Below are 23463 nucleotides of genomic sequence, written 5' to 3' on the forward strand. Positions count from 1 at the left end.
TAACACACAGGAGAAAGTGTCTGCACACTGTAGAGAGCTGTGCCCACCAGAGGAGCCAGCTCCACCCCCTCTCCTAATCCACAGGGCAGGGACTGAAGAGGCTATTCCCAGGGCCCAGCCCAGATGGGGCTTAAACTCCAGTCAGACAGGAGCCAATTTCCCTGGCTCATTATCCCAAACCAAATTAGGGGCAGCCCAGGCTGTGCCACTCGTGGCTTAATTGGGACTCACAGACACCCCGCCCCGTGCCTTCTTTCTTTCCCACACCCCTGTCCCCAGCCAGGCCGTGCCTTAGGGGAGCCAGAGGCTGCCTGGGCCTTGCCACCTGGGCCCTCGCAGACGCCCCAGTGTAATCAATTAGACCCAGGCCAGGCCGGCTCGGGATGGGGGCGCCGCTGGGCAGCTGGGCCCAGCATCGATCCCGGCCCCTCTCGACCCCCAGGGAGGGGAGGCAGCCAAGAGAGCCGTGCAGATGGCGGTCTCCACGGCCCTCTGCCCCCACCCCCCACCCCAGAGCTGCCTGTGGGTGTACTCAGCCCGGACAGAGAACGGTGCACCTGGTGGGCTCCGCATGAGCCTGGAGGCTGGACTTTGTTGCTTGGTCCCCAAAAGGGGCAGAAAATATTTAGGAAATGCTGTCCTGCTGGGATCCATGTGTCCCCCCCAACTGGAGCATCCTTCATCCCTCTAAGCCACCTGGAGGCCTGCTCAGGCCCCTATTCTAACCAGGCCAGGCCCCCCAGGGGGAGCCACTCCAGAGGCTCTGTACGCAGCAGGGCAGAGGTGGGGGCAGGGACTTTCTTTGAAGAATCTTCTCCTGGGGCCTCCCCCCTGCTCCCATCCCCCATCACAAAGGTTGGTCAGGCGAGCAGGGCGGGGGGTGGATGGAGGGAAGACAGGGGACAGGGCTGCTGGCAACGAAAGGATTCCCATCTGGGGATCATGAGGAGGCCTGGGGACCCTGGAGGACACTGCCGCCATCAATGCTATCTGAAGCCCCACCCACCTCCCACCACCCCAGGCAGCAGGCATGAAAGCTTTGGAACCAGAGAGGGTGGTATGGAGGGGAAAGGGACCTCCTACATGTGTGTTTTCGGAGGGCTGTGGGGGTAAGACTCTGTTTGCAATGATGCAGTTTCAGGGGGTCCATGTGCCTGAGGCAGGGATTTCTCTGTATCTGGATGACTCTGTATTCCCATGCCAGACACACAGTAGGTGTTAAGAATCATTTGCAAAATGGGAGGCGTGGGGGTCTCTGTTTCTAAGCTCTTATAAGTTGGCCTGGAAGGGAGTATGCATGTGGGGTGTGTGTATATGTGAATATATGTGTACATGTGAGTGTGTGTATGTATGTATGAGTGCGCATGTGTGTATATGTTAGTGTGCATATATGAATGTGTGTAGATGTTAGTGTGTGTATATTTGGATGTGTATTTTAGTGTGTGTATGTGAGTGTGTATACATGTGAGTGTGTGTATATGTGACTGCATGGGTGTATATGTAAATATGTGTATCTATGAATGTGTGTATATGTGTGTAAGTCTGTGTATATTTCAGTGTGTATTTTAGTGTGTATGTGTGTAGATGTGTGTGTAGATGTGATTGTGTGTGTATATGTATATGTGAGTATGCATGTGTGTGTGAGTGTGTGTATATGTAACTGCATGTGTGTATATGTAAATATGTGTATATATGCATGCGTGTACATGTGTGTAAGTTTGTGTATATTTCAGTGTGTATTTTAGTGTGTATGTGTGTAGATGTGATTGTGTGTGTATATGTGAGTATGCATGTGGGTATGTGAGTGTGTATATGTAAATATGTGTATATATGCATGTGTGTATATGTGTGCATGTTTCTATATATTTCAGTGTGTATGTGTGTATATGTGAGTGTGTGTATGTGATTGTGTGTGTATATGTGAGTATGCATATGTATGTGTGTGTATATGAATGTGTGTATATGTGTGTATATGTTAGTGTGTATATTTGTGTGTATTTTAATGTGTGTATGTGAGTGTTTGTATATGTGAGTGTGTGAGTGTGTGTGTGTGTGTGTGTGTGTATGTGTGTGTGTGTGTGACTCCACGTGGCATTTTTCTCCCTCTGGGCCAGCGTGTGTATTTAACAAAGGACTTGGGGGCTTTGCCTCCCACCTTGGAGTCCCCAGGCCCAGGAGTGCCACTCCGTGTAGACCTCAAGCCTCAGCCTCCATGCTTAGGGAGCTTCTCTGCTCCAGCCCTGGTGTCACACTTGGTGAAAGACACATTTAGAAGAACGAAATGATGTAAAAATAATAAGATAAAAATCACCTGTGGTGACACCACCTAGAAATATGCTTGAACCTGAGCCTTTACCATGGGTCCCCTCCGTAAAGGAAGCATTGGAAGTAGGGAAGCATGGCTTGAAGAGGAATAGGCATGGAGACTCTGCGAGTGAATACATGCAAAGCGCTTAGAATAAACAGTGCTGGCAGCACGCAAGCACCGTCAGAGTGTTTACTAACATCATCAATCATCACTATCACTCACTGAGGTTTCCTTACCTTAAGATGTGTGCTCTTCTTGTCAGTTTCACTCGTTAGTCCTCAAGCAGTCATTATTGCACCCACCTTGCAGATGAGGAAACTGAGGCCCAGAGACGGAAAGCCACTTGCCAAGGCCACCCAAAGCCTCCTGAGCAGCCCCAGGACTACTCCTGCTCCTTGTCAGTCCCTCCTCATCTGTCTGAGGCTGAGCTGGAGAAGGCTGGGAGGACAGAGAGAAGGGGCAGAGGCCAAAGCCCCCCTCAGGCCCTGCCAGGGCTGTGCTCCTGGACTAGAGGGCTGCAGTCCGGCCACCGGGCACAGGCTGGCTAATTGCCGACGCGCAGCGCTGCCCTGGACTATGACACAGGCCCCTGACAGACATGATTTATGAGGGCCCTCGGCAAAGCGGAACCCACTCAATTGCCTATTACCTCACTTAGCAGACACCTTGTCACCGCCCGAGAGCCGGGTGTTAAAAATACAAACCAGGCGGCCAGTCGGCCCCGAGTGTGGCCCCTCCACCTGCTCCGCACCAGATAACCAGCCTTCCAGCCAGCCAGCTGATCTCTGCTCGGCTGAACTGGGGAGAAGACGCTGAGAGTGGATTAATGAAGTAGATGTCATCAGGTCTCAGTCTCTGGGTTGAGGAGGTGGACAGCGGGAGCAGGGATGGGACCCCAATATCCAGACTGGTCCATCTGCTGGTAGTGCCTGCTGCAGAGATGGGGACAACTGAGGCACAGCAAGATGCAGCCACTCATCGAGGGTGCTGGCAAAGCCAGGACTGGATCCCAGAGGTCCCACATCCCCACCTTCTTTGCTCATGAACTCAACTTTTTGTTGCTCTGAATATACACGGTGCTTGCTACAAACCGATCTGCAATGTCTGGGCTGCCAGGGTTTCCCAGCCCCAGCCTCCAAGCCCAACATTCTGCACCCTTCCTGGCTGGCCTCATTGCCTTTCAAACAACCCTACAGAAGTCAGGGTTCATGTAGACTCTCTGTCGGTGTTTCCAGGCTGCCAGTTAAACTAGGAACACACACAACGCCAACTCCGAACTCACAGGACTCACACAATAAAAATGCAGGGCCTCTTGTTCAAATATTAAGGATTTCAACATGGTGACAGGAGGGCATTAAACCAAGCGTGGACCCTTCTGTGCTCAAGGTCCTGCATGACTGCAGGGGTCCCACACTCATGATGGCCTTGAACACCTACTCGGAGCCTGCATGAAGCTGGACTTTCACCGCTTTGGCTCATTTAATCCTCACAACAACCTTGGGGAAGACGTAATGGTGGCCCTCCTGCTCGAGAGCTCATAAATGTGTGTATTTGTGTGTGTGTGTATGTATTCTATGTGTGCTCATGTGTGTCTGTGCATGTCTGTGTGTTTCCATGTATATGCATCCATGTATGTCTGTGTGCATGTCCACATATGTGTCTCTGGGTGTGTGTCATGTGTATTTGTCTGAATATGTGTTCGTGTGTGTCCATGTCTGTGTGGGGGTGTGTGTACCTGTGTATGTGCCTGTGCGTGCGTCCACGTCTGCGGGTGCGTGTGCCCGTGCGTGCGTCCACGTCTGCGGGTGCGTGTACCTGTGCGTGTGTCCGTGTCTGGGTGTGTCTTTGTGGGAACATATGTGTGTATCCTGGCAGAAGTTTTAAACAGCCAAAGAGAAGATCAGATCAAAAGCAGTTGGCACACTGGATGAAGCCTGGCCCTGAAAGATGGGATCAATTCCCCTGCCCGGTCCTATGTGGGTCCACATGGGATCATCAGCTGGGTCTGAGGGAATTCCCTGGGTGGGGCCATTTGGGGGCAGAAGGGAGCTGTGTCTGTGGATCCCTTGGGCAGGCACCAGGCTCTGCAGGCTTCACCCTCAGCACAGCAGAGTGGGGAGCAGTTTCACTCACTCCCTCATTTATTCAGTTACTCACTGGGCACCCCCTTTGCACTGACGGGAGCCAGACCCGGCCATGCCCTGTGGGAACTCACAGCCTAGTAAGCAATTCAGGTGGCACAGGGAGTTGTAGGGACCTAGAGGAGGCCACTGACCCAGCCGAGGGACCATCAGGAAGGCTTCCTGGAGGAGGCAATGTCTCACCTGAGACTTGGAAAGGAAGCAGGAGTGATATCAAGAAGAGGGAAAAGTGTCACAGGCAGAGGAACACACCAAGCAAAGGCCTGGGGGTGGGACGAACCCAATCATCCGGCCCATGCGAGCTTCTCCTGTCCCCCTGCCGCTGCACCCTCACCAGCTCCCTCTCTCTCCCATTCCTCCTTCAGGTCCCGATTTCAACTTCTCTTCCTCCAGGAAGGCTTCCCTGATTTTGCACGAGTACACACACACACACACACACACACACATACGGTGAGTGCATTTACCTGGTCTTTGCCTTCGGGCACGTACCAGAGTATAACTTAAGCTCAAAAGTCATCTCCTCTGCATGGGGTACTTTTTTCCATAGCCCAATGCCGAGAACAGTCCTGGCTCATAGTAGGTACTCAACAAATGTTTGTTGATTGAATAAGTGTGAGAGAAGACACGAAGGCATGCGTGCACCTGTTGGAACGAAAGAGCTGCAGGAGCTTGAGAGTTTAGTGTGGGAGTGCCTGGCCCCCTCAATGCAGGGGCTATGACCAACCCAGACACCACATATTATCGTGGTCAGAGGCACAGAGGCCCTGAGACAAATCCTGCCTCTGTCTGTTCCCAGCTCTGTGACCTTAAGAGACTCTCTTAGCCTCTCTTGGTCTCAGTTGCCTCATTGGTAAACTGGGTTCTCAAGAGGTTTAAATGAGGTCATATAGAAAGTGCAATCAAAAGAGTGCCCAGCACATTCAAGATACTCAATCTGTGTGGTCGGTGTGTTATTATTTTTCTCCACCTCCCCGGCATTCAGCCCTAGACCAGGCAATCATGAGCTGTCAATCAATGGAGATACTACCATCATCACCATCACTCAGAAAGATGGATCAGACCATGAGAACTTGTCACCTGATGATAATCATAAACCCTGACATTCACATGGGCCTGAGAAGTTACCAAGAGCTTTTCCTGGGTGCTGCTCCTCCAGGTTTCAAGGGCAGGTGGGGGCCCAGCCCAGAACTCTCTCTCTTCAGCCTCCCTTTGGAGCTTCATACAGCAGGCTCATCCTCTGCTTCTCCACCCCTCACTACCTGACTTCCAGCCAGTTCAGTTCCACTGTGAACTCTGGGAGAGATGGACAGCTTGGCGATGGGAATGTCAGTGCAGCCTCAGGCCAGAGAGCCACTGCTCAGTGGAAAAGTGGTCTCTGGTCCTGGGCGATGGAACAGCATTTCCAGGCCTGGCAGGACCTGTCAAAGGCCCTGTCCTAGAGACACATCTGTACCCTCCACGCCTCACCCGTCTCTGGGATCCTCAGCCTGGGTCCCCCAGCCATGCTGGGATTTAGAACCAATATTTTTAGAAAGCACAGCTGAGGCTTTTTAACAAGGTTATGCATTAATTCAACAAACATTCCCGGCTTGGGTGCTGGAGAAGCAGAAATGAAGTCGATACAGCCTCTGCATCAAAGAGCTCACACTTTAAGTAGGAAGGAAGGTGGCAGCTTTGGCGAGAACATGGGGCTTTGGGGGAGCAATCAGGGCAACTCACAGCCAAAACATTGAAGCAAAGATGTGGAGAAGAAGGAATTAGCAAAGGCAGAGGGAGTTTCAGGCACAAGGAACAGCAGGTGCAAAGGCTTGGTGGCTGGAGAAAATGGAGAGAACTTGAAAAATGTGGCAGGACTGGAGTAAAGACAACGGTTGGGGAGGCAGAGTGTGGCAAGAGAGGGGCATCTTCTTCCAAGACTTCCCTTTATTGGAAGGCAAAGCCAAGGAGAGATTTGGTCTTACAGATACTTCATTCATTCATCTGCATGGTCATTCAACAGTTACTGACAGCATCCTGAGTCAGGCATAAGGTGGGTCCTGGGCAGAGGGAAACAAACAAGGGAAGGGCATGAGATGGGTGGGAAAGTAGGGGATGTGGGGCACAGCAGATGGGGAAGGCATCAGGGACGGCTCCCTGGAGGAGAGGGCTCCAAGCAATCTGAAAAAAATGCCTCCTCCTACCTCTAAACTGAGCTCAGGTATCCAGGGGAATATCAGCCCCAAAGCTCTCACCCCCATCAGTGGCAGGGAAGGTCCAAAATTCTCCAGGGAGCTGCTTATCCACTCATTCATTTGTCCATTCATTCATTCATTCATTCATTCATTCATTCATCATTTCACCCAGCATTTGCTCAGACAGACAGAAAACCCAGCCCTGCCCTTAGAGGCTCCCAGCACCACTGAAAAGGAGACAAAGGCATGAATAAGCAAACAGAAGTCAGTATCAATGGCGGTGGAACATGGACATCCAACACTAGCTGTCAGCACAACCTCCTGAGAGTTTTATAAAACACAGTTTCCCTGGGCCCGACTGCGAGCCACTGACTCTACCTCATGGAGTCAGTCCAGGGAATCTGCATCCTAAAACTCCTCAGGGACTGGAGATGGCTCAGCCTGGCACTTGCCTGCTGACGGTCATTTCAGAATCCGTCTGTGCCAGGAGCACCAAGTCCCTGAGGGACTGGTAGAATCAGGTGGCAGCCGGGGACAGGCCTCTGCTGACTTCAGGTCTTATTTTAGCCTCTGGCATGTCCCCAGGAGGCCCCACAGGAGGGGGCCGAGGATTTTACAGGAGGGATTTGCACGGGTATTTTCAGTCTAGATGGAGGATCAGCCTGGCCATAGCCAGCCCCGCAGTTAGAGAAACCAGGCACTGAAGTCTAATAGTACCCACCACCCACCCTGGAGAAGCTGGCCTCCTGGGCCTCCCTGAGCCCTGGGGTGGAGACTCGCTGTCAGAGATGAGCTGAGAGACCTGTGTGGGCCTCTGAGCAGATCTGGCATCTGGCAGCTTGGAACAGCTAGAGACTATGTTTGCAAAAGATGGGTGAGGGAGGCTGGGGGTATCATCTCCATTTCACAGATGCAGAAACTGAGGCTTGGAGAGGCCAAGGCCATTGCCATACCCTGAGTCAACCCCAAGTCCTTGTAACAGTGAACTAGGTCTTTGCTAAAAAGACAGCCCCGGTGCCTAACAGATGTCATTCCAAGCCAATGATTAATAAATAATGCTAACACTCGATGCTGGTAACCAGCCAATGCTTACATGAAGCGTGGATAGGCCAGGCACCATTCTCAGCACTGGGCATATTTTACCACTAACTCCTCTTCATCCTCACCAACACCTACAAAGCAGGCAGTAATAGTATGCCCATTTGACAGATGAAATGAACTTGGGAGTTGGGCAGAAAGATCCACGGAGCCCCAAGTCCCCAGTGAGTCTTTCCCTCCCCAGACCACCTTCCCAAACCCTCCCAGCCCTCATGCTTATTCTGATAAACCCTCCAAAGCCCGGATTAGTAAAGGGGTTAACAAGGTGGATGGCACCCCCCAGGCTTGGTTTGCACCTGCCAGTTAGAGGCAGAAGGCAGTCTGGGGTCAATGGACAAAGCCAGGCACGAAGTCCAAAGCATGGGTTTGAATCCCAGCCCCGCCCTGGCCTTCCTGAGCCTCAGTTTCCTCTGCTGAGAACTGGAAGCATCTATTCCCACCCCAAGTACCACCTAGCATGGCAGGTAGGGTCAAGAGAGCAGGAATACGCTTCTCCACCTGCAGATGAGGAGGCTGAGGCCCAGAGAGGGGTTGGCAGATGCTCAGGGACCCCTGGCTGGGCTGGGAGCAAATGAGCTCTTGTGAATCACATGCCCCTGTCAGAATAACAATGAAGGGGGAGCCGAGAAACAATGAGGGCCCAGTTGACTCTGCCCAAGGGGCAGTCGGCACAGGTCTGTCTGACTCCTGGGCTGATCTGACCGTTCTCAGCAACAGAAGTAGGGGAAGGCATAGGTACTGGGGTTTCAGCCAGTCTCCTACTAACCAGCTGGGTGACCTTGGACTACTTACTAAACCTCTCTGAACCTCTCTTTTCTCAGCCTCAAAATGGGGACAATCACAGTAAGGCGGTTGCGAGAACCCAGGAAGGCAGGAGGTGTGGAGTTGCCTTTTCCAGATGGAGCACTGGGAACTCAGGCTCTGGGGTGGGGAAGGGACTTGCCCAAGATCACAGGGCACCCATGCAGCTGAGCAGAAGCTTGTCTGCGGCTTCTCCCCCACCCACAGGCCTGAGGAGGAGGGGCCCCGCCTCTGGTGGTGGGGAGGTGGGATGAGGGAAGGGTTCCCTGAAGCACGGGCATCGCAAACCGCAGGACTGGCATTTGCAGGGATGGCATTCCAGGTGGGGGAGCCGGCCTAGGCAAAGGCCGAGGGGCTGGACGGCACTGAGAATGTGCGGAGACCAGCATGACATTTAGACGGCTAGAGCGAAGGAGGCGGGAACGTCTGCAAGTAGGTGTGTGCAAGGTGGCTTTTCCATCAGCATGTGTGCGTGTGTGTGCTTACACACGTGCATGAGTGTGAGTGCGACTTCTCGGCCGCAGAGTCCCCCATTAACGCTCCGGTATTTGTTTGTTCAGTTCCGCTGTCCCATCGGCCCTGCTGCCTCTCTGCACCCCGTTTGCCAGTCGGCTCCCTCTCCCTCTCCCGAGGTCTCCATGCGTCATTAAAACCGAAACAAGCCCCTGCTCTGATGGTTAAACCAGATGCCCAGGCCCCATCCTGCCTGGGCCCCATCTCAGGGTCAGAATGAGCCACGGAGCTGCTGGGGAGGCCCCGTCCAGCTGCATCAGCCCGTGGGGGGCCTGGGGTCCCAAGAGGGACAGGGCCAGACGAGGGGAAACCCAATCCGTGACACATGGAGATCATTTGCAGAAGGAACAAAATCCGTGACCAACTCCAAACGGATGCAAAGGGGAGGGGAGCGGGGCTGGGTAAGGAGTTCTCAGGGCCAGTGGGAGATGAGGACTGAGGCAAACCCTGGGCCAGCCCCAGGCCAAGCTCTCAGGTTGTCTCAGCCACACTCTCTAGGAGCTCCTGGCAAGGCTCCCACCCTCCCTGGGCCCTTGTGTTCTCCTTTCAAATAGGGTGAGGACTGAAAGAAAGATTCAGAGCAAATGTCTGACCCTGTGCCCAGCAAATGGTTAGCCTGAAGCAAATAGATTGATACATAGATGAGACAACTGAGACTCAGAGAGGTTGTGCAACTCAGCAAAGGGCACACAGCAAGTCAGCCTAGGAGTGGGGCTCGAATCTCCCAAAACGGAAAATGTCCACAGCAAAGGGACATGGGCAGCCAGTCATGATTTGCAAAATCAGACACACCGTGGCCTTCATCTCCCCTAAGATGACTTTCCCTTCTTCCCATTTTACTGAGGGCCTCAGGACTCCAACCCACGAACTCCACTCATTTGGTTTTTTGTTTTGTTTTGTTTTTGTTTTTGTTTTCTTTTGAGACAAGGTCGGGCTCTATCGCCCAGGCTCACTGGGCTCACTGCAACCTCCACCTCCCAGGTTCAAGCAACCCTCCTGCCTCAGCCTCCCAAGTAGCTGGGACTACAGGTGTGTGCCATCACACCTGGCTAATTTTTGTATTTTTTGTAGAGATGGGGTTTCGCCATGTTGCCCAGGCTGGTCTCGAACTCATGAGCTCAAGCGATTCTCCTGCTTTGGCCTCCCAAAGTGCTGGGACTACAGGCTTGAGTCACAACGCCCGGCCCTGGTTTTTGAATTTAGCTTCATTGAGATAGCTAAACTCATAGCATACAACTCACCCATTTCAATGCAATGTATTAAATCAATGTCAATGAGTTATACAATGAACAATTCAGTGGCATTAAGTACATTCATAATGTCACACAACCATCACCCCATCTCTCTCTCTTTTTTTTTTTTTTTTTTTTTTGACACAGGGTCTCGCTCTCTCACCCAGGCTGGAGTGCAGTGGCGTGATCTCAGCTCACTGCAACCTCTGCCTCCCACTCTCAGGGATATTCCCACCTCAGCTTCCCAAGCAGCTGGGATTACAGGCACACACCACCATGCCCAGATAATTTTTGTATTTTTTTTAGAGACAGGGTTTTGCCATGTTGCCCAGGCTGGTCTCGAACTCCTGGGCTCATGTGATCCACCCACCTCTGCCTCCCAAAGTACTGGGATTACAGGCATGAGCCACCATGCCCAGCCACAACTGTCTATTTCTAAAACTTTTTGATCACCCCAAAAAGAAACTCTGTACCTATTAAGCAGTAACTCTCCTATTTCCCCCTCCCCCTGCCCCCTATTAACCACTTTCTGTCTCTGTGAATTTGCCTATTGTAGATATTTCACATGAGTGGAATCACGCAATATTTGTCCTTCTGTGTCTGGCTTCTTTCACTTAGCATAATGTTTTCAAGGTACATTCATGTTGTAGCATGTATCAGAACTTCATTCCTTTATATGGCTGAACAAGATTCCATTGTATGGATATGCCACATTTTGTTTATCCATTTATCCGTAGATAGACACCTAGGCTGTTTCCACAGCTTGCCTACTATGAATAATGCTGCTACAAGCACGGGTGTACAAGTATCTGTTCAAGTATCTGTTTACAATTCCTTTGGGCATATTCCCAGGAGTGGTATTGCTGGGTCATACGGCAAATCTATGTTTAGCTTTTTAAGGAACCACCAAAAAGCAGCTACACCAAGAGTCTGAGGCCCACTGGTTCAAAGTCCAGACTGTGTGAAGGTTCAGGGACTGCCGCTTGACCTAGCCCTCATCACCTCTTGCCTGGACCTTTCCAGTAGACTCCTGGCTACCCCCTGCCTCTGCCTCAGCTCCTCCAGTGGCTCCTCACAGCCAGGAGATCATCTGCAGCTCTTCAAAGCCACCTCCCTGGATAAAATCAGCAGACACTGTGCCCTCCGTGGGCCCCTCCTGTCCCCTGTGAGGCCCCACAGCCATCTCCACCCATGCACCCCAGCACTTACCACGGGTGCCAAGTCATCTACAGACTCCCTCTATTGGTGGGCTCCTTGAGGCTAGAGACCATGTCTAATTTATGTCTCGTCATGGTCTTGAATAGAAAAGGTCCTTGGTAAATAAGTGTGTTGCATAGATGAAGAAACCGGGGCTGAGAGAGGAAATTGACCTGCCTGAGGACCCGGAGCTGGGAAGTGAAGGACCTGATTCAATAAGATGGCAGGTGTCAAGTAGGTGTTCAAAATTATTAAGCACCAGTTCTCTTCCCACCTCTTACCTTGGGGAGTCAAAACACCCCTGGGTCCAGACCAAGCCCTACTTCTAACTCGCTGTGTGACCTCAAGCAAGGCAGTTGCCCTCTCCGGGACTCAGTTTCCAATTTGTGATCGGGACGATCTCTTTGGGTTGGAATTTGAGGCCTCTATGGCCACACCACCGTCACCACCCCCTCCCCCAGCAGATTCCTCAGGGCTCAGCTGGACCCCTCAGCCAGCCCCTCCTGCCCACAGGTAATTAGAGGAACACAGCAGGGGTCGAGGGCAGGGGGAGGCCCCAGCAGGCGGCTCCTTCCTCTGAAAGGGGCCCCTCAACGCTGCCTGCCCAGCTCCTGCTGCGAGAACAAAAGGCCTTGTGGACGTTCAAAGCAAGGCGCCGGGCGGGAGGCCAGCGTGGGCGGCCGCAGAGATGGCCACGGGGCTCGTGGCGGGGATGGCCGGCGACTGGAAGCTGTCCCCATCCATCAGTCAGCAGTGACAGCTCCCGGGGACCTGCAGCCCCCCCTCGGCCCTGCCAGCTGACCGTCCGGCTGCAGCAGGCCTCCCTCGCCTGCCTGGTGGCTCCAGCCTGATGACCTGAATAATGGATCTGCCTTGAGCGTCCCGTCACAGTGACAGACACATCTCTGATCCAGGCTTCTCGCTTTACCTTCTCAGCCACATCCCTGGCCAGCGGCCCCCAATGTGGAGAGAGAGATGCAGCACATGTCACCCTCATTCTGATGGGCCATGGATACCAAGCCAGCGTGGCCAGGGTCACAGTGGCCTGGGAAGTCCAGGAGTTTACAAGAGCTTGACCTTATCTGCTACCAACTCGCTGGGTGATCCTGGGCAAGTCCTGGTCCTTCTCTGGGCCTCACTTTCCCCTCTTGTGAAGTGAAGGCGTCATCACCAAACTCTGATATGTGAGTTCTGTGATGCTCAAGTCCCCAGGAAGACATGGAGAGGCAGTGGCGAGATGGAGCAGGGCAGACCTGGTTCCAAATCTGGCCTCTGCTTTCCCTTGTTGCGTGCACTGGGCAAGTTACTTAATGCCTCTGAGAGCCCCTGATCCTCTTCCTCCTCTTCCTCCTTGGTGTATAATGAAAACCATCTTCCCACTTCAAGGGATAATTGTGAAGGTGAAATGAGCTTATATCTGCAAAGCACTCAGCCCAGAGCCTGGCATGGTGCAAGCACTCTGTCAAAGTATCACTTACTGAGCATCTACAATAGTCTGTGCCATGCTAGGCTAGGTTATAGCCATAAATGAGATCAAGAAACTGCCCAGAGGTGGGACACAGTGGCTGACGCCTGTAATCCCAGCACTTTGTGGGGCTGAGGCTGGTGGATCACTTGAGCCTAGGAGTTGAAGACCAGCCTGGGCAACATGGTGAAACCTGGTCTCTACAAAAAAATCAAAAAATTAGCTGAGCATGGTGGTGCATGCCTGCAGTCCCAGCTATTCAGGATGCTGAAATGGAAGGATCGCTTGAGCCCAGGAAGGTTGAAGCTGTATTGAGCTATGATCATACCACTACACTGAGAGACAGAGCAAGACCCTAACTCAAAAAAAAAAAACAAGAGAGAAAAGAAAGGAGGAAAGGATCCAGGAAGGGTCTGAGAGGCAGCCTTGGAGATGAGACTGGAAAAGCATTCTGGACAGAGGGAACAGCTGGTGTGAATGCTTAGAGGCAGGACCATGCTGAGGGTGTTTAAGGGATATAATGAGAACACTCTGATGGAGCAGAGCTATGGAGAGAGAGGGACCAGGCAGTGCAGTGGCGACGCTCAGAGTGTCCAGGTTGGCATTCCAGCTGTCCCTTCCTAGTCGAGTGGCCTTAGGGAACCTGCTTAACCTCCCTGTTCTCCGGGCCTGTGTCTGCTACGTGAGAACAATCCTGGAGTCTACCTTTTATCATATGAGGATGGAAAGGAGGTGGTGGGCTAATGTGACTGGAATGATCCTACATGAAAGAAGCCCTCAGTCCCCGGAGCTATTTTTTTTTCAACATCATCATCGTCGTCATTGTAGACCATGTTGGGCAATTTGACAGATAGTATTGGCTTTCTGTCGCCAGGTGCTTTTCTTTTAGAAAACACTGGAGTCCAGGGGTGTCGACTGGTATAAGAAAGTTCCTACAGCTTGGGTGGTAAGAGAAAAAAAAATTGGAAACAACCTAAGTGTCCATCACCGGAAAGATGACTCAATGAGTAGTGACATATTCATACTGCGGAATAGTCTATCGCAGTGACAGTGTGTCAACTGGAGCGTCACGTATCAACAAGGATCAGTCTCAAAATAGGATGTCGAGCCAAAAAAGCAATCACAGAATATGCATATGGGATGCTTGCATTTATAGAAAGTTTTAAAACCTGCCAAGCCGCACAGTATACCTTTTATGGATACACGCGTAGGTAGTGTATCCGTAAAGTACAGGCCAGGCGTGGAAATGGTATGAAGTAATTCAGGATCTCAGTTCAGTAGGGCACTGACTACCCCACTGCTCTCTTTTGCTGCCTCTGCCTTATTTTTATTGTTATTCTGGCATATTATATATTTTAGCCTACTCTGTTTATCCTTCGTCATCCTTCTGCTCTGGTGTAAGCTCCATGAGGTCAGGGCTGGGATTTTTGCCTGATTCATCCTGTGCTGTATCCCCAGTGCCTAAAACTGTGCCTGTAACATAGTGAGCCCTCCGTAAATAAGGACTGAGTGGATGGACGGAAGTAGGGCGGGAAGGAGGGAGTGAGCATTGCAGAGAGAAACTCAAGGTCTTCCTTATACAAAAGAACACACAGAGGGCCCCAGATCAAACCAGAGGGCTGGACTGAGAGATAGTAGAAAGGTCACCCCTCCCTCACCTCTGCCCCCAAGGGCTCCGCTGCCCCACCCCAGGTCGTGGACTCCCATGCCCCCAGCCCCCTGCCTGGAGTGGGAGGGTGGGGCTTTTGCTGCAAGGGTAACCCTCATTCCCATCTCACTGGGAAAGAAGACAGGAGCTGGGGTCCACCCCAGGGCACGCCAAGGCCGCCTAGCTGATATACAAGAGATTTTTCAACTCTGAGTCAGGGTAGCCAAAGAAAAACAAATGCAGCGAGAGCGCGCCCAGCACAAATGTTCTTTACCGTCCCCTGATGGTCTGAGGTCCAGGACCCCCACCCTACTGACACCCACCAAGCCACAAACCCTCTGCCCTGGTCCAGGTCCCACGGATACCACCCCATAAATTTTCCAGGTGTGTCCACTTCGCTCCATCCCCAGTCCTCTCTTGTCTCCTGGACAGGGCAGCGGCCTCCTCGCTTACCTCCCTGTGTCCACTCTGACCCCTCCCTCCTCACAGCTGACTTCCATTCCACTTCCTTAATGACTCCCCACCACCTTAGAACACAGTTCTTACCATCGTCCAAAGCCTTGGGTGTTCTTTCTTGTCCTTCAGTCACTCAGCTTATATTCTCTACCACCACCATCACCACCACCACCAGGAAGCCTTCCTGGACTTAGATGCTCCTTTTTGTCCTTCAGTTGCTCACTTATATGCCCCACAACCACCATCATCACCACCAACACCAGGAAGCCTTCTGGGACTTCCCGGGTGGGGCCAGCTGCTTCTTCGGGCTCTCACAGCCTCCTGGGCTTCCTGAGACAAGGGAATCCTGTTGCCCATAGGAATGTGAGGTCCAAGAGGGCAGGATTCACGTTCTTTTCATAACTAGACCCCCAGGGCTTGGCCTAGGGCAGGCACTGGTTAAATACTCGTTGAAGGAACACACGAATGAATGAATGAATGAGTTACACATATGAATGACTGAATGAATGAATGAGTTTCCTACCTGGAGAAGTTCTGGATCCTTTGGAAGGTTTAGATGTGGATGATAGGGAGTTTCAAGCCATCTGAACTCAAGGCCTCCCTAGGGTCTTCAGGGCCCACAGCCCCTTCTTGCAGGGAATACAGATGTTGGGAGTTTATCGCCTGTTCCAAGCATTTGTCCAACCCCCCACCGGCAATTTCCCTGCCAAGTAAAGTGAGCATGATGTAGCTGATAAAGCTGCATTAAAATTCCCCTCGGCCCGATTTGCCTTCAGGAAAATGGTGGAACCCTAAATCTCAATGGGCATGAAACACAGAGGTGTTGGGGGTTGGCAGGCAGATGAGAGCCTCCCAGCTGGGAGAAACTAGGGAGGATGGGACTGCAGGCCCGTAAATTACTCCAGAGGGCTCAGCCTAGATGAGGCAACCCTTCCAGCTCCCACCAGGGCCAGGTGAAGTAGGTGGAGAAGGAGGTGGAGAAGAAGGTGTGAGGGTGTAGATGGCCAGGGAGGTGCTACGCTGGGCCTAGGGACCCTCCCCCTAGCAGCCTGGAATGACCGTCCCTATAGGCCTAGAAGGAATTGCAAATCTTTCAGTTCACCTGAAGCACTTACTTTAATCAATCCCTACAAGAGTGCCAGGAGAAAGGTGCCTTCATCATCCCCTTATTTCCAGATGGGGAAACTGATGCTCAAAGAGGTAAGGTGATTTGCCCTAACATCACCCAGGTCCTCCCTGCTGGGGCCCTGGAGCGGCAGGCTGAGGCCAGGCCCGAGGATTTCAGTGGTACAGGGAGGATATTTAAATCATTTCTTTTTCTTTTTCACCTTCTTTATAGCCTGTCTGCTTGTGGTGGCTCCGACACTTGCCAATTCTCCTTCACAACAAAGAGTGGGGGCATGCAGTCCTCATGCTCCCAAAGAGACAAGGAACAGCATCAAGCCAGGTTTCTCATTACAGGATTTTATTTCCACTGTGCTTCTTTTTTTGGGGTTTTTTGTTCGATTATTTGTATTTATTTATTTATTTTAGTTAGTTTGTTTTTGTTTTTGTTTTTGTTTGAGATGGAGTCTCACTCTGTCGCCCAGGCTGGAGCACAATGGCGTGATCTCAGCTCATTGCAACCTCCACCTCCCGGGTTCAAGTAATTATCCTGCCTCAGCCTCCCAAGAAGCTGGGATTACAGGCATGCGCCACCACGCCCAGCTGATTTTTGTATTTTTAGTAGAGATGGGGTTTTGCCATGTTGGCCAGGCTGGTCTCGAACTTCTGGCCTCCAGTGATCCACCAGCCTCAGCCTCCCAAGGTGCTGGGATTACAGGCATGAGCCACTGACTGCAGCCCTTTTTTGGTTGGTTTTTTAGTTAGAGATGGGGTCTTGCTATGTTACCTGGGCTGGCCTCGAACTCCTGGGCCCAAGCAATCCTCCCAGGGTAGCTGGGACTACAGGCTTGCACCCACTGTCCTCTTTTTTTTTTTTTCTTTTGGGATGGAGTCTCTGTCACCCAGGCTGGTGTGCAGTGGCATGATCTTGACTCAATGAAACCTCTGCCTCCCAGGTTCAAACGATTCCCCTGCCTCAGCCTCCCAAATAGCTGGTATTACAGATGCCCGTCACCACGCCCAACTAATTTTTGTATTTTTAGTAGAGATGAGGTTTCACCGTGTCACCAGGCTGGTCTTGAACTCCTGACCTCAAGTGATCCACCTGCTTCGGCCTCCCAAAGTGCTGGGATTATAGGCATGAGCCACCGTGTCTGGCCCATTGTACTCATTTTTGAAGACACTTTCTGCTGGCGGACACCGATATTGGTTTCTCATTATTTTCAGCAATATATAGCTTCCTTTTAAAAATATATTTGTGTGTTTTAAAGTGAGTCTACTTAAAGAAAAATATGAAGTAAAGAACACAGGCAGTACATGGTTATGCCAAAAAATCCATAGCACTCACCTCCCACCTGTCTTATCAGTTCACTATGTGTTAGTCCCAGGCCCTGCCTCGTCCCTGGGGCAAAGTCCAGAAAGCGGGAATTTTTGCCTGCTTAGTTCATGGGTTTATCCCAAGTAGCCCAAAACAGTGCCTAGCACATAGCAGGTGCTTTACAACAGTAAAGAGTTGTTAAATGAAGGTGGTGGCAATCTAGGAACGGCATATTGAAAACTTGCAGAGCCAGCTCCAAGGAAGTCAGTGATTCTGAACTCCTATTCTCCAGACATTCTATTGTTTTCCAAGATTCAATAAGCCTTAATTTTAAAGTTCTAGAGAGCTTAGCTCTCATAATTCCTGACACTGTGGTCCTCTGATTCCATTCTTCTCTGTTTCAGAGGCCCTCTGCAGCTCAGATGCCATATAGGGGCACTCTAAGATTCTAAGAATGTGGTGTAATGATGTTATTTTCTGGGAAGCCAGGACCAACCAAGACTGCAGAATCAGATCCTCCATCTAGTGCTGAGCAAACAAGAAGGAGAAGAAGGAGGAGGGGGAAGAGCAAAAGGAAGGAAAGACAGAGGAGAAGGAGGAGAAAAGGAAGAGAAGGAGGAGGAAGCAGTGAGATAAGAGAAAAGAGAGAGGAAAAAAAGACAAAGAGTGAGAGTTGGGGAGAGAAATAGAAGTGAATTGAAGAGAAGGGAATGAAAGGGAAGGGGAGAGAGATGGGAACAAGGGGGAAAGAAGTAAAGAAAGAGAGGCAGGGAGATCTCCAGAGAAAAAGAGAGACGTGCCTACATTTACATGCGCACGCTGGTCCCTCATGAGTATCTCCCCTGTCCTTCACAGGGCAATGGGACAGGCTGTCCAATGCCCACCTCCTCCCTTGGGTTGTGGGTCACCTGGGCAGCAGCTCCTCTCCTCCTTCCACAGAGTGGTGTGATGTGACTGAGCCCTCTAGGAAGCAACTTGCTGGGGGAAGAGAAGGTAGAAGCTTAAAGAGTACAAAGGCTAGAGGAGCAGGCTGTGTACCAAAATCCAGGTGCTTCTGAGAGAAATGTTGGCTGAGCCTTTCCTCTGTGCCAGGCACACTCTTAGCAACTGTGCACACATCATCTCCTGTGATCCTCACAGCAGTCCCATAAGGTAAGTAGGGTTGCCTCATTCTAAAGAAAAGATAACTGAAGTACAGCAAATTACATACTTTGGCCAGATCAAGATGGGATGAAGGGATGGGGGGATGGATGGATGGATGGATGGATGGATGGATGGATGGATGGATAGGTGTATGGGTGAGTGTGTGGATAGGTGGGTGGATGGATGGGTGAATAAGTAGGTGGATGGGTAGATGGATGGACAAATGAATGAAAGGATGGATGGGTGGGTGCGTAGGTGAAAGGATGGATGCATAGGTGAATGAATGGATGGAGGGATGATAGATAAGTGGATAGATTGATGGATAGAAGGGTGGGTGGGTGGATGGATGGATGAATGGATGTAGAGATTAGTAGCTGAATAGATGGATAAGTAGGAGGGTAGAATGGATGAATGGATGGATGGATGATAGATAAGTGGATAGATTGATGGATGGATAGACGAATGGATGAATGGATGGATGGATAGACGGGTGAGTGGGCGGGTGGATGGAAAAATGGGTATATGAATGGGTGGGTGGGTGGATGAATGGATGAACGGATATAGAGATTAGTAGTTGAATAGATGGATGAGTGAGAGGGTAGGATGCATGGATGGATGGATGGATGGATGGATGGATGGATGGATGGATGGATGGATGGATGGATGATGGATGGGTGGATGGATGGATGGTGGAAGGAAAGAGGGAGTATAGTTCAGTGGGTGACTACGTGGCAAACAGCCCATCCTGGTGAAGTATCCCTCTCCACTCCTCCCAAATCATTCCAACCACCCTCTACCTTCTTCATCGCAATCCTGTCCCAGACATGTCCCTATAACTTAATATCAAGAAATGACTGCGAGAAAAAAAATAATAGGAAGATAAGAACAAAGCTTCAAATATAAGGAGCCTACCAGACAAGAAAAAACCAGCCCTAAAATCATGAAGATGGGTCGGAAGTGGGAACCTAGCCATGCTTGGCACGGTTAAGGAGAGCAACTGAGAGCAGTGGCTGAGGCTTCATGAGTAAGGAGAAGATGGAGGCACCCAGACAGAGTGTGAATTTTAACTCAAAAGCCACAGGTTTTTGTTTTGTTTTGTTTTTTGAGAGGGAGTCTCACTCTGTTGCCCAGGCTGGAGTGCAGTGGTGTGATATCGGCTCAACGCAACCTCCGCTTCCCGGGTTCAAGCAATTCTCCTGCCTCAGCCTCCTGAGTAGCTGGAATTACAGGCATGTGCCACCATGCCCAGCTAATCTTTTGGTATTTTTAGTAGAGACGGGGTTTCACCATGTTGGCCAGGCTGGTCTCAAACTCCTGACCTCAGATGACCTGCCCACCTCGGCTTCCCAAAGTGCTGGGATTACAGGCGTGAGCCACCGCGCCCAGCCAAAAGCCACAGGTTTTAAACAGAGGACTGACAGAGCCACTCACACTTTGCCAAGATCACCTGGTGGAGAAGGAGGTGGTGGGAGTGAGAGAAGAAGAAATGAGGTTCATGCAGAGGTGGCCACAGGCATCCAAGTGAGAGATGCTGGGAAGGGTGGATTTGGGGTACATTTTGAAGGGAGAATTTGCAGGTCTTGGAAATAGGTGGGTTGTGGAGATGAACCATTGTGGGAAAGCAAGCATGACTCCCAGGTTTCTGAATTTAGGTTTTGAGATCATGGGAGGAACATATATATTGAGTTATGGAAGACTGGTTGAGGTTTTAGGCAATGAGATCAATAATTTTTTGGTTGTTTATTCATATAAAAATATTTATGAAACACCTACTATGTGCCATGTCCTACTGTCCTGCAGTGCTGGGCTCACAAGGAATGTACCAACTTCCCTACCTCCCAGCCACCCAGCTCAGCATGTACCCGACCAAGTCACCCACCAGCTCACCAAATCCTCCAGGAGTGACAGGACCAAGTGTTTGGGGGTGTCAGGTTCTCGCCCCTCCCGAGACAAGCTGGCCCAATGGCTGGAACATCCGGCCTCCCACGGGGGACCAGGCAGCCTCCTCTAGCGGCCATGTGCCCTATGAATGCTAATCCCCCACCCCCCGCCTCCTGGACACGCACACATAGGACATGCACAATGGCGGCTGGTGTCACCCACCAGGGTCCATGCCCTCACAGCAGAGAGAATAGCTACCAGCTGGTCCTCACCGGCTGTGTGACCTTGGGTGGGCCACATTCCAAAAATGATCACCCCAGGAAGGTGTCATCCATTCAACCACCAACTGCTTGGCACCTTCTATGTGCCTGCCAGGCTCTGAGGAAACAAAAGTTAAGCCCCCTTCTGAGCCCCCTGACCATACCTCATACTCCCCTTCCCAGCCACAAATTAATCAATAAAGATTTCTAGAGCCAGGGCTTCTGGGAAACTCAAGAGAAGACGTAAGTGAATCACAGTTCATAAACACACTCCCATCTATTGAATCCACATGGTGCCCTCAGAGACAACCAGGGGGGAGGAACTGAAGCCTCCATGGATAAGTGGGGAAATTGAGGTCCACGGAGCTGAAGGGTCTTGCCCCAGGTCATGTAGAGACCCCGAGGTGAGTCAGGTCTCAAACCTGCATCTTATGACTTCCAGTTAAGTATCCTGGCACCAGCTTCATGTGATCAAAAAAAGGAGGGAAGTGGCCAGGTGGCATAGAGGCTCTCGAAAAGAGAGAAATGATTAAGAAATGGGATGTGTCTCAGGGAGAGACTGAGGGGAACTTTTAGGGTCTCTTGGCCCCTCTGTTTCCTCTCCTGATCATTTAGATTCTCTTCCTTTCCAAAAAGGCTGGAGCGGGCCCCAATTGCCACACAGGAGCCAGAGTTGGAAAGACAAATCTGCCAGGGTTACATAAGGCTTCGCGAGTGGCTAAATTTAAAACTGAAATGTGAACCTCAGGACAGAATAAAAACACTCAGGGGGAAGGACTGGGGCCAACACCTCCCTTGGCCTTCATAGTACACCAGAGGGAGGTGGTTCCCCAGTGGACCCAGGGAGAGGCTCCTGAAGCCAGCCTTGCAGATACATAGTTACAGGCTGAGCAAAGGGCCTTACCAGCCCACCCTGGGCACGTGAGCATTCCCTAGTTCCTGCCTAGGGGGCAACGTCCCTGATTCCAAGCTGGAAGGGGCAAGAGAAGTCCCTCTTTCTAGTGGGTCTTCAGGCAGATAATACTACTTCCTGCAAAAAGAGCAAGTTATATTTTCCTACAAACTCTTCTACACGAAGAGTAGAATTGTTAATCAATTGAATGAACACTGATATGAAATATTTAAGCAAGCACAAATCCACTCCTTGCAAGAGTCTCTTGTCTACCAGGTCTGACCTACTCATCACACATGTACAGCTCACATGCGGTTCACACAGGTATAAAAACACAAGCGTAATATATGAACCTGCTTGCATAAGATTCTGGGCCCAATTTGCCACATCCACTCATAGATACACATACTTACATGTACACACACCCACACCCACAAACCATTCTCACCAGGGCTATCTCTTACAAGAGTTTACCATGGGCCAAATGCTCTTCTCAACAGTTTGTCTGTGTTATTCATTCAATTCTTACAACAAGGCTAAGTGCTGTTTTCATCCCCATTTTACAGATGACACTCAGAGAGGTTACATGGTTTGCCTGAAGTCACACATCTGGTAACTAGCAGAGCTGGGATTTGAACCCACGGCAGGCTGGCAGCAGCATTCATGTTCTTCACCACCATGAAGACACAAGGGCCCTTGCACGTACATGAACAAAAACAAACAGGCACTGAAGCATGTTTTCCTGCTTGCGGGACAGAAACACACACACAGCAACCAACATGTGAGAATAGAAGGGAAAAGGACCCCAGACTGTGTGGACCACAGGGCCTTTGCACCACATTCACTCATCCAGGAACCTGGTGGATGTGAGAAATTTAGGAGCATAGTGAGAAAGGGGAGTATACAGACCCAGGGACCCAGGGGTGAGGTCAGGACCAGGTATTGAACGGTCGCAGGGTCAGGAACAAGGTGCAGGATCAAACATTTATGTCCTTGCCCCACCTCTAAAGCACCTCGACTTCTTACCCACCAAACCCACACATCCCTGTTGAGATACGGCAGGGCCTAGCGCCCTGGCCCTTGGCCCTGCCACAGAGCTGCCCCCTCCCACTAATGCACGGCTTTAGGGATCTGGGGGCTGCTCTATAGGCATGGGTGAGACTTGAGTCCTCCCTGGTGGGGAGGCAAATAGGCAGAGGCCACGGGCAAAGTTCTCTAGGACATGAGAGTTTTGCCTCTCCAAAGCCTGCAGAAAGCAGAGGTGAAGGCCTGGGTTTGAGCCTCTCTGTCCCTGATTGTAAAGTGGAGATCACACTAAAACATGAGCCGCAGGGTGGTCGTAAGAACAAAATGACAAACGAGGGATTCAGGGCTTAGCCCAGTGCAAGGTTCTCCGTTGCATACTCTATGAATATTCATATTATTATTCAAAAGAATGGAAATCAGTCTATCGAAGAGATATCTGCACTCTCATGCTTATTGCAGCTCTGTTCTCAATAGCCAAGATCTGGCAGCAGCCTAAGTGTCCATCAACAGGTGAATGGATAAAGAAATATGGTACCTATGCATGATGAAGTACTATTCAGCCATGAAAAAGAATGAGACCCAGGCATTTGCAAAAACATGGATGGAACTGAGGGTCATTATGTTAAGTGAAATAAGCAAGGCCCAGAAAGATAAACTTCACATGTCTCACTTATTTGAGAGAGCCAAAAATTAAAACGATTGAACCCATGGAGACAGAGAGTAGAAGGATGGTTACCAGAGGCTGGGAAGTGTAGTTGAGGGATGTGGGGAAGTGGGAATTCTTAATGGGTACAGAAAAGTAGCTAGAA

At 50.9% G+C, this 23463-nt stretch overlaps 6 annotated features.

Annotated features, from left to right (window-relative positions):
• Positions 480–1098: an enhancer, noted in NCBI's record as "NANOG-H3K27ac-H3K4me1 hESC enhancer chr22:28026616-28027234 (GRCh37/hg19 assembly coordinates)". NCBI's record gives its function as "activates a minimal SCP1, AML or CMV promoter by ChIP-STARR-seq in naive H9 embryonic stem cells {active_cell/tissue: H9 hESC(naive)}" and the evidence as "EXISTENCE:reporter gene assay evidence [ECO:0000049][PMID:30033119]".
• Positions 3729–4322: an enhancer, noted in NCBI's record as "H3K27ac-H3K4me1 hESC enhancer chr22:28029867-28030460 (GRCh37/hg19 assembly coordinates)". NCBI's record gives its function as "activates a minimal SCP1, AML or CMV promoter by ChIP-STARR-seq in primed H9 embryonic stem cells {active_cell/tissue: H9 hESC(primed)}" and the evidence as "EXISTENCE:reporter gene assay evidence [ECO:0000049][PMID:30033119]".
• Positions 7243–7743: an enhancer, noted in NCBI's record as "H3K4me1 hESC enhancer chr22:28033379-28033879 (GRCh37/hg19 assembly coordinates)". NCBI's record gives its function as "activates a minimal SCP1, AML or CMV promoter by ChIP-STARR-seq in naive H9 embryonic stem cells {active_cell/tissue: H9 hESC(naive)}" and the evidence as "EXISTENCE:reporter gene assay evidence [ECO:0000049][PMID:30033119]".
• Positions 7956–8760: an enhancer, noted in NCBI's record as "H3K4me1 hESC enhancer chr22:28034092-28034896 (GRCh37/hg19 assembly coordinates)". NCBI's record gives its function as "activates a minimal SCP1, AML or CMV promoter by ChIP-STARR-seq in naive H9 embryonic stem cells {active_cell/tissue: H9 hESC(naive)}" and the evidence as "EXISTENCE:reporter gene assay evidence [ECO:0000049][PMID:30033119]".
• Positions 8761–9564: an enhancer, noted in NCBI's record as "H3K4me1 hESC enhancer chr22:28034897-28035700 (GRCh37/hg19 assembly coordinates)". NCBI's record gives its function as "activates a minimal SCP1, AML or CMV promoter by ChIP-STARR-seq in naive H9 embryonic stem cells {active_cell/tissue: H9 hESC(naive)}" and the evidence as "EXISTENCE:reporter gene assay evidence [ECO:0000049][PMID:30033119]".
• Positions 11817–12750: an enhancer, noted in NCBI's record as "H3K27ac-H3K4me1 hESC enhancer chr22:28037955-28038888 (GRCh37/hg19 assembly coordinates)". NCBI's record gives its function as "activates a minimal SCP1, AML or CMV promoter by ChIP-STARR-seq in naive H9 embryonic stem cells {active_cell/tissue: H9 hESC(naive)}" and the evidence as "EXISTENCE:reporter gene assay evidence [ECO:0000049][PMID:30033119]".

Source organism: Homo sapiens, chromosome 22 (assembly GCF_000001405.40).
Source record: "Homo sapiens chromosome 22, GRCh38.p14 Primary Assembly".
NCBI classification, from domain to species: domain Eukaryota; kingdom Metazoa; phylum Chordata; class Mammalia; order Primates; family Hominidae; genus Homo; species Homo sapiens.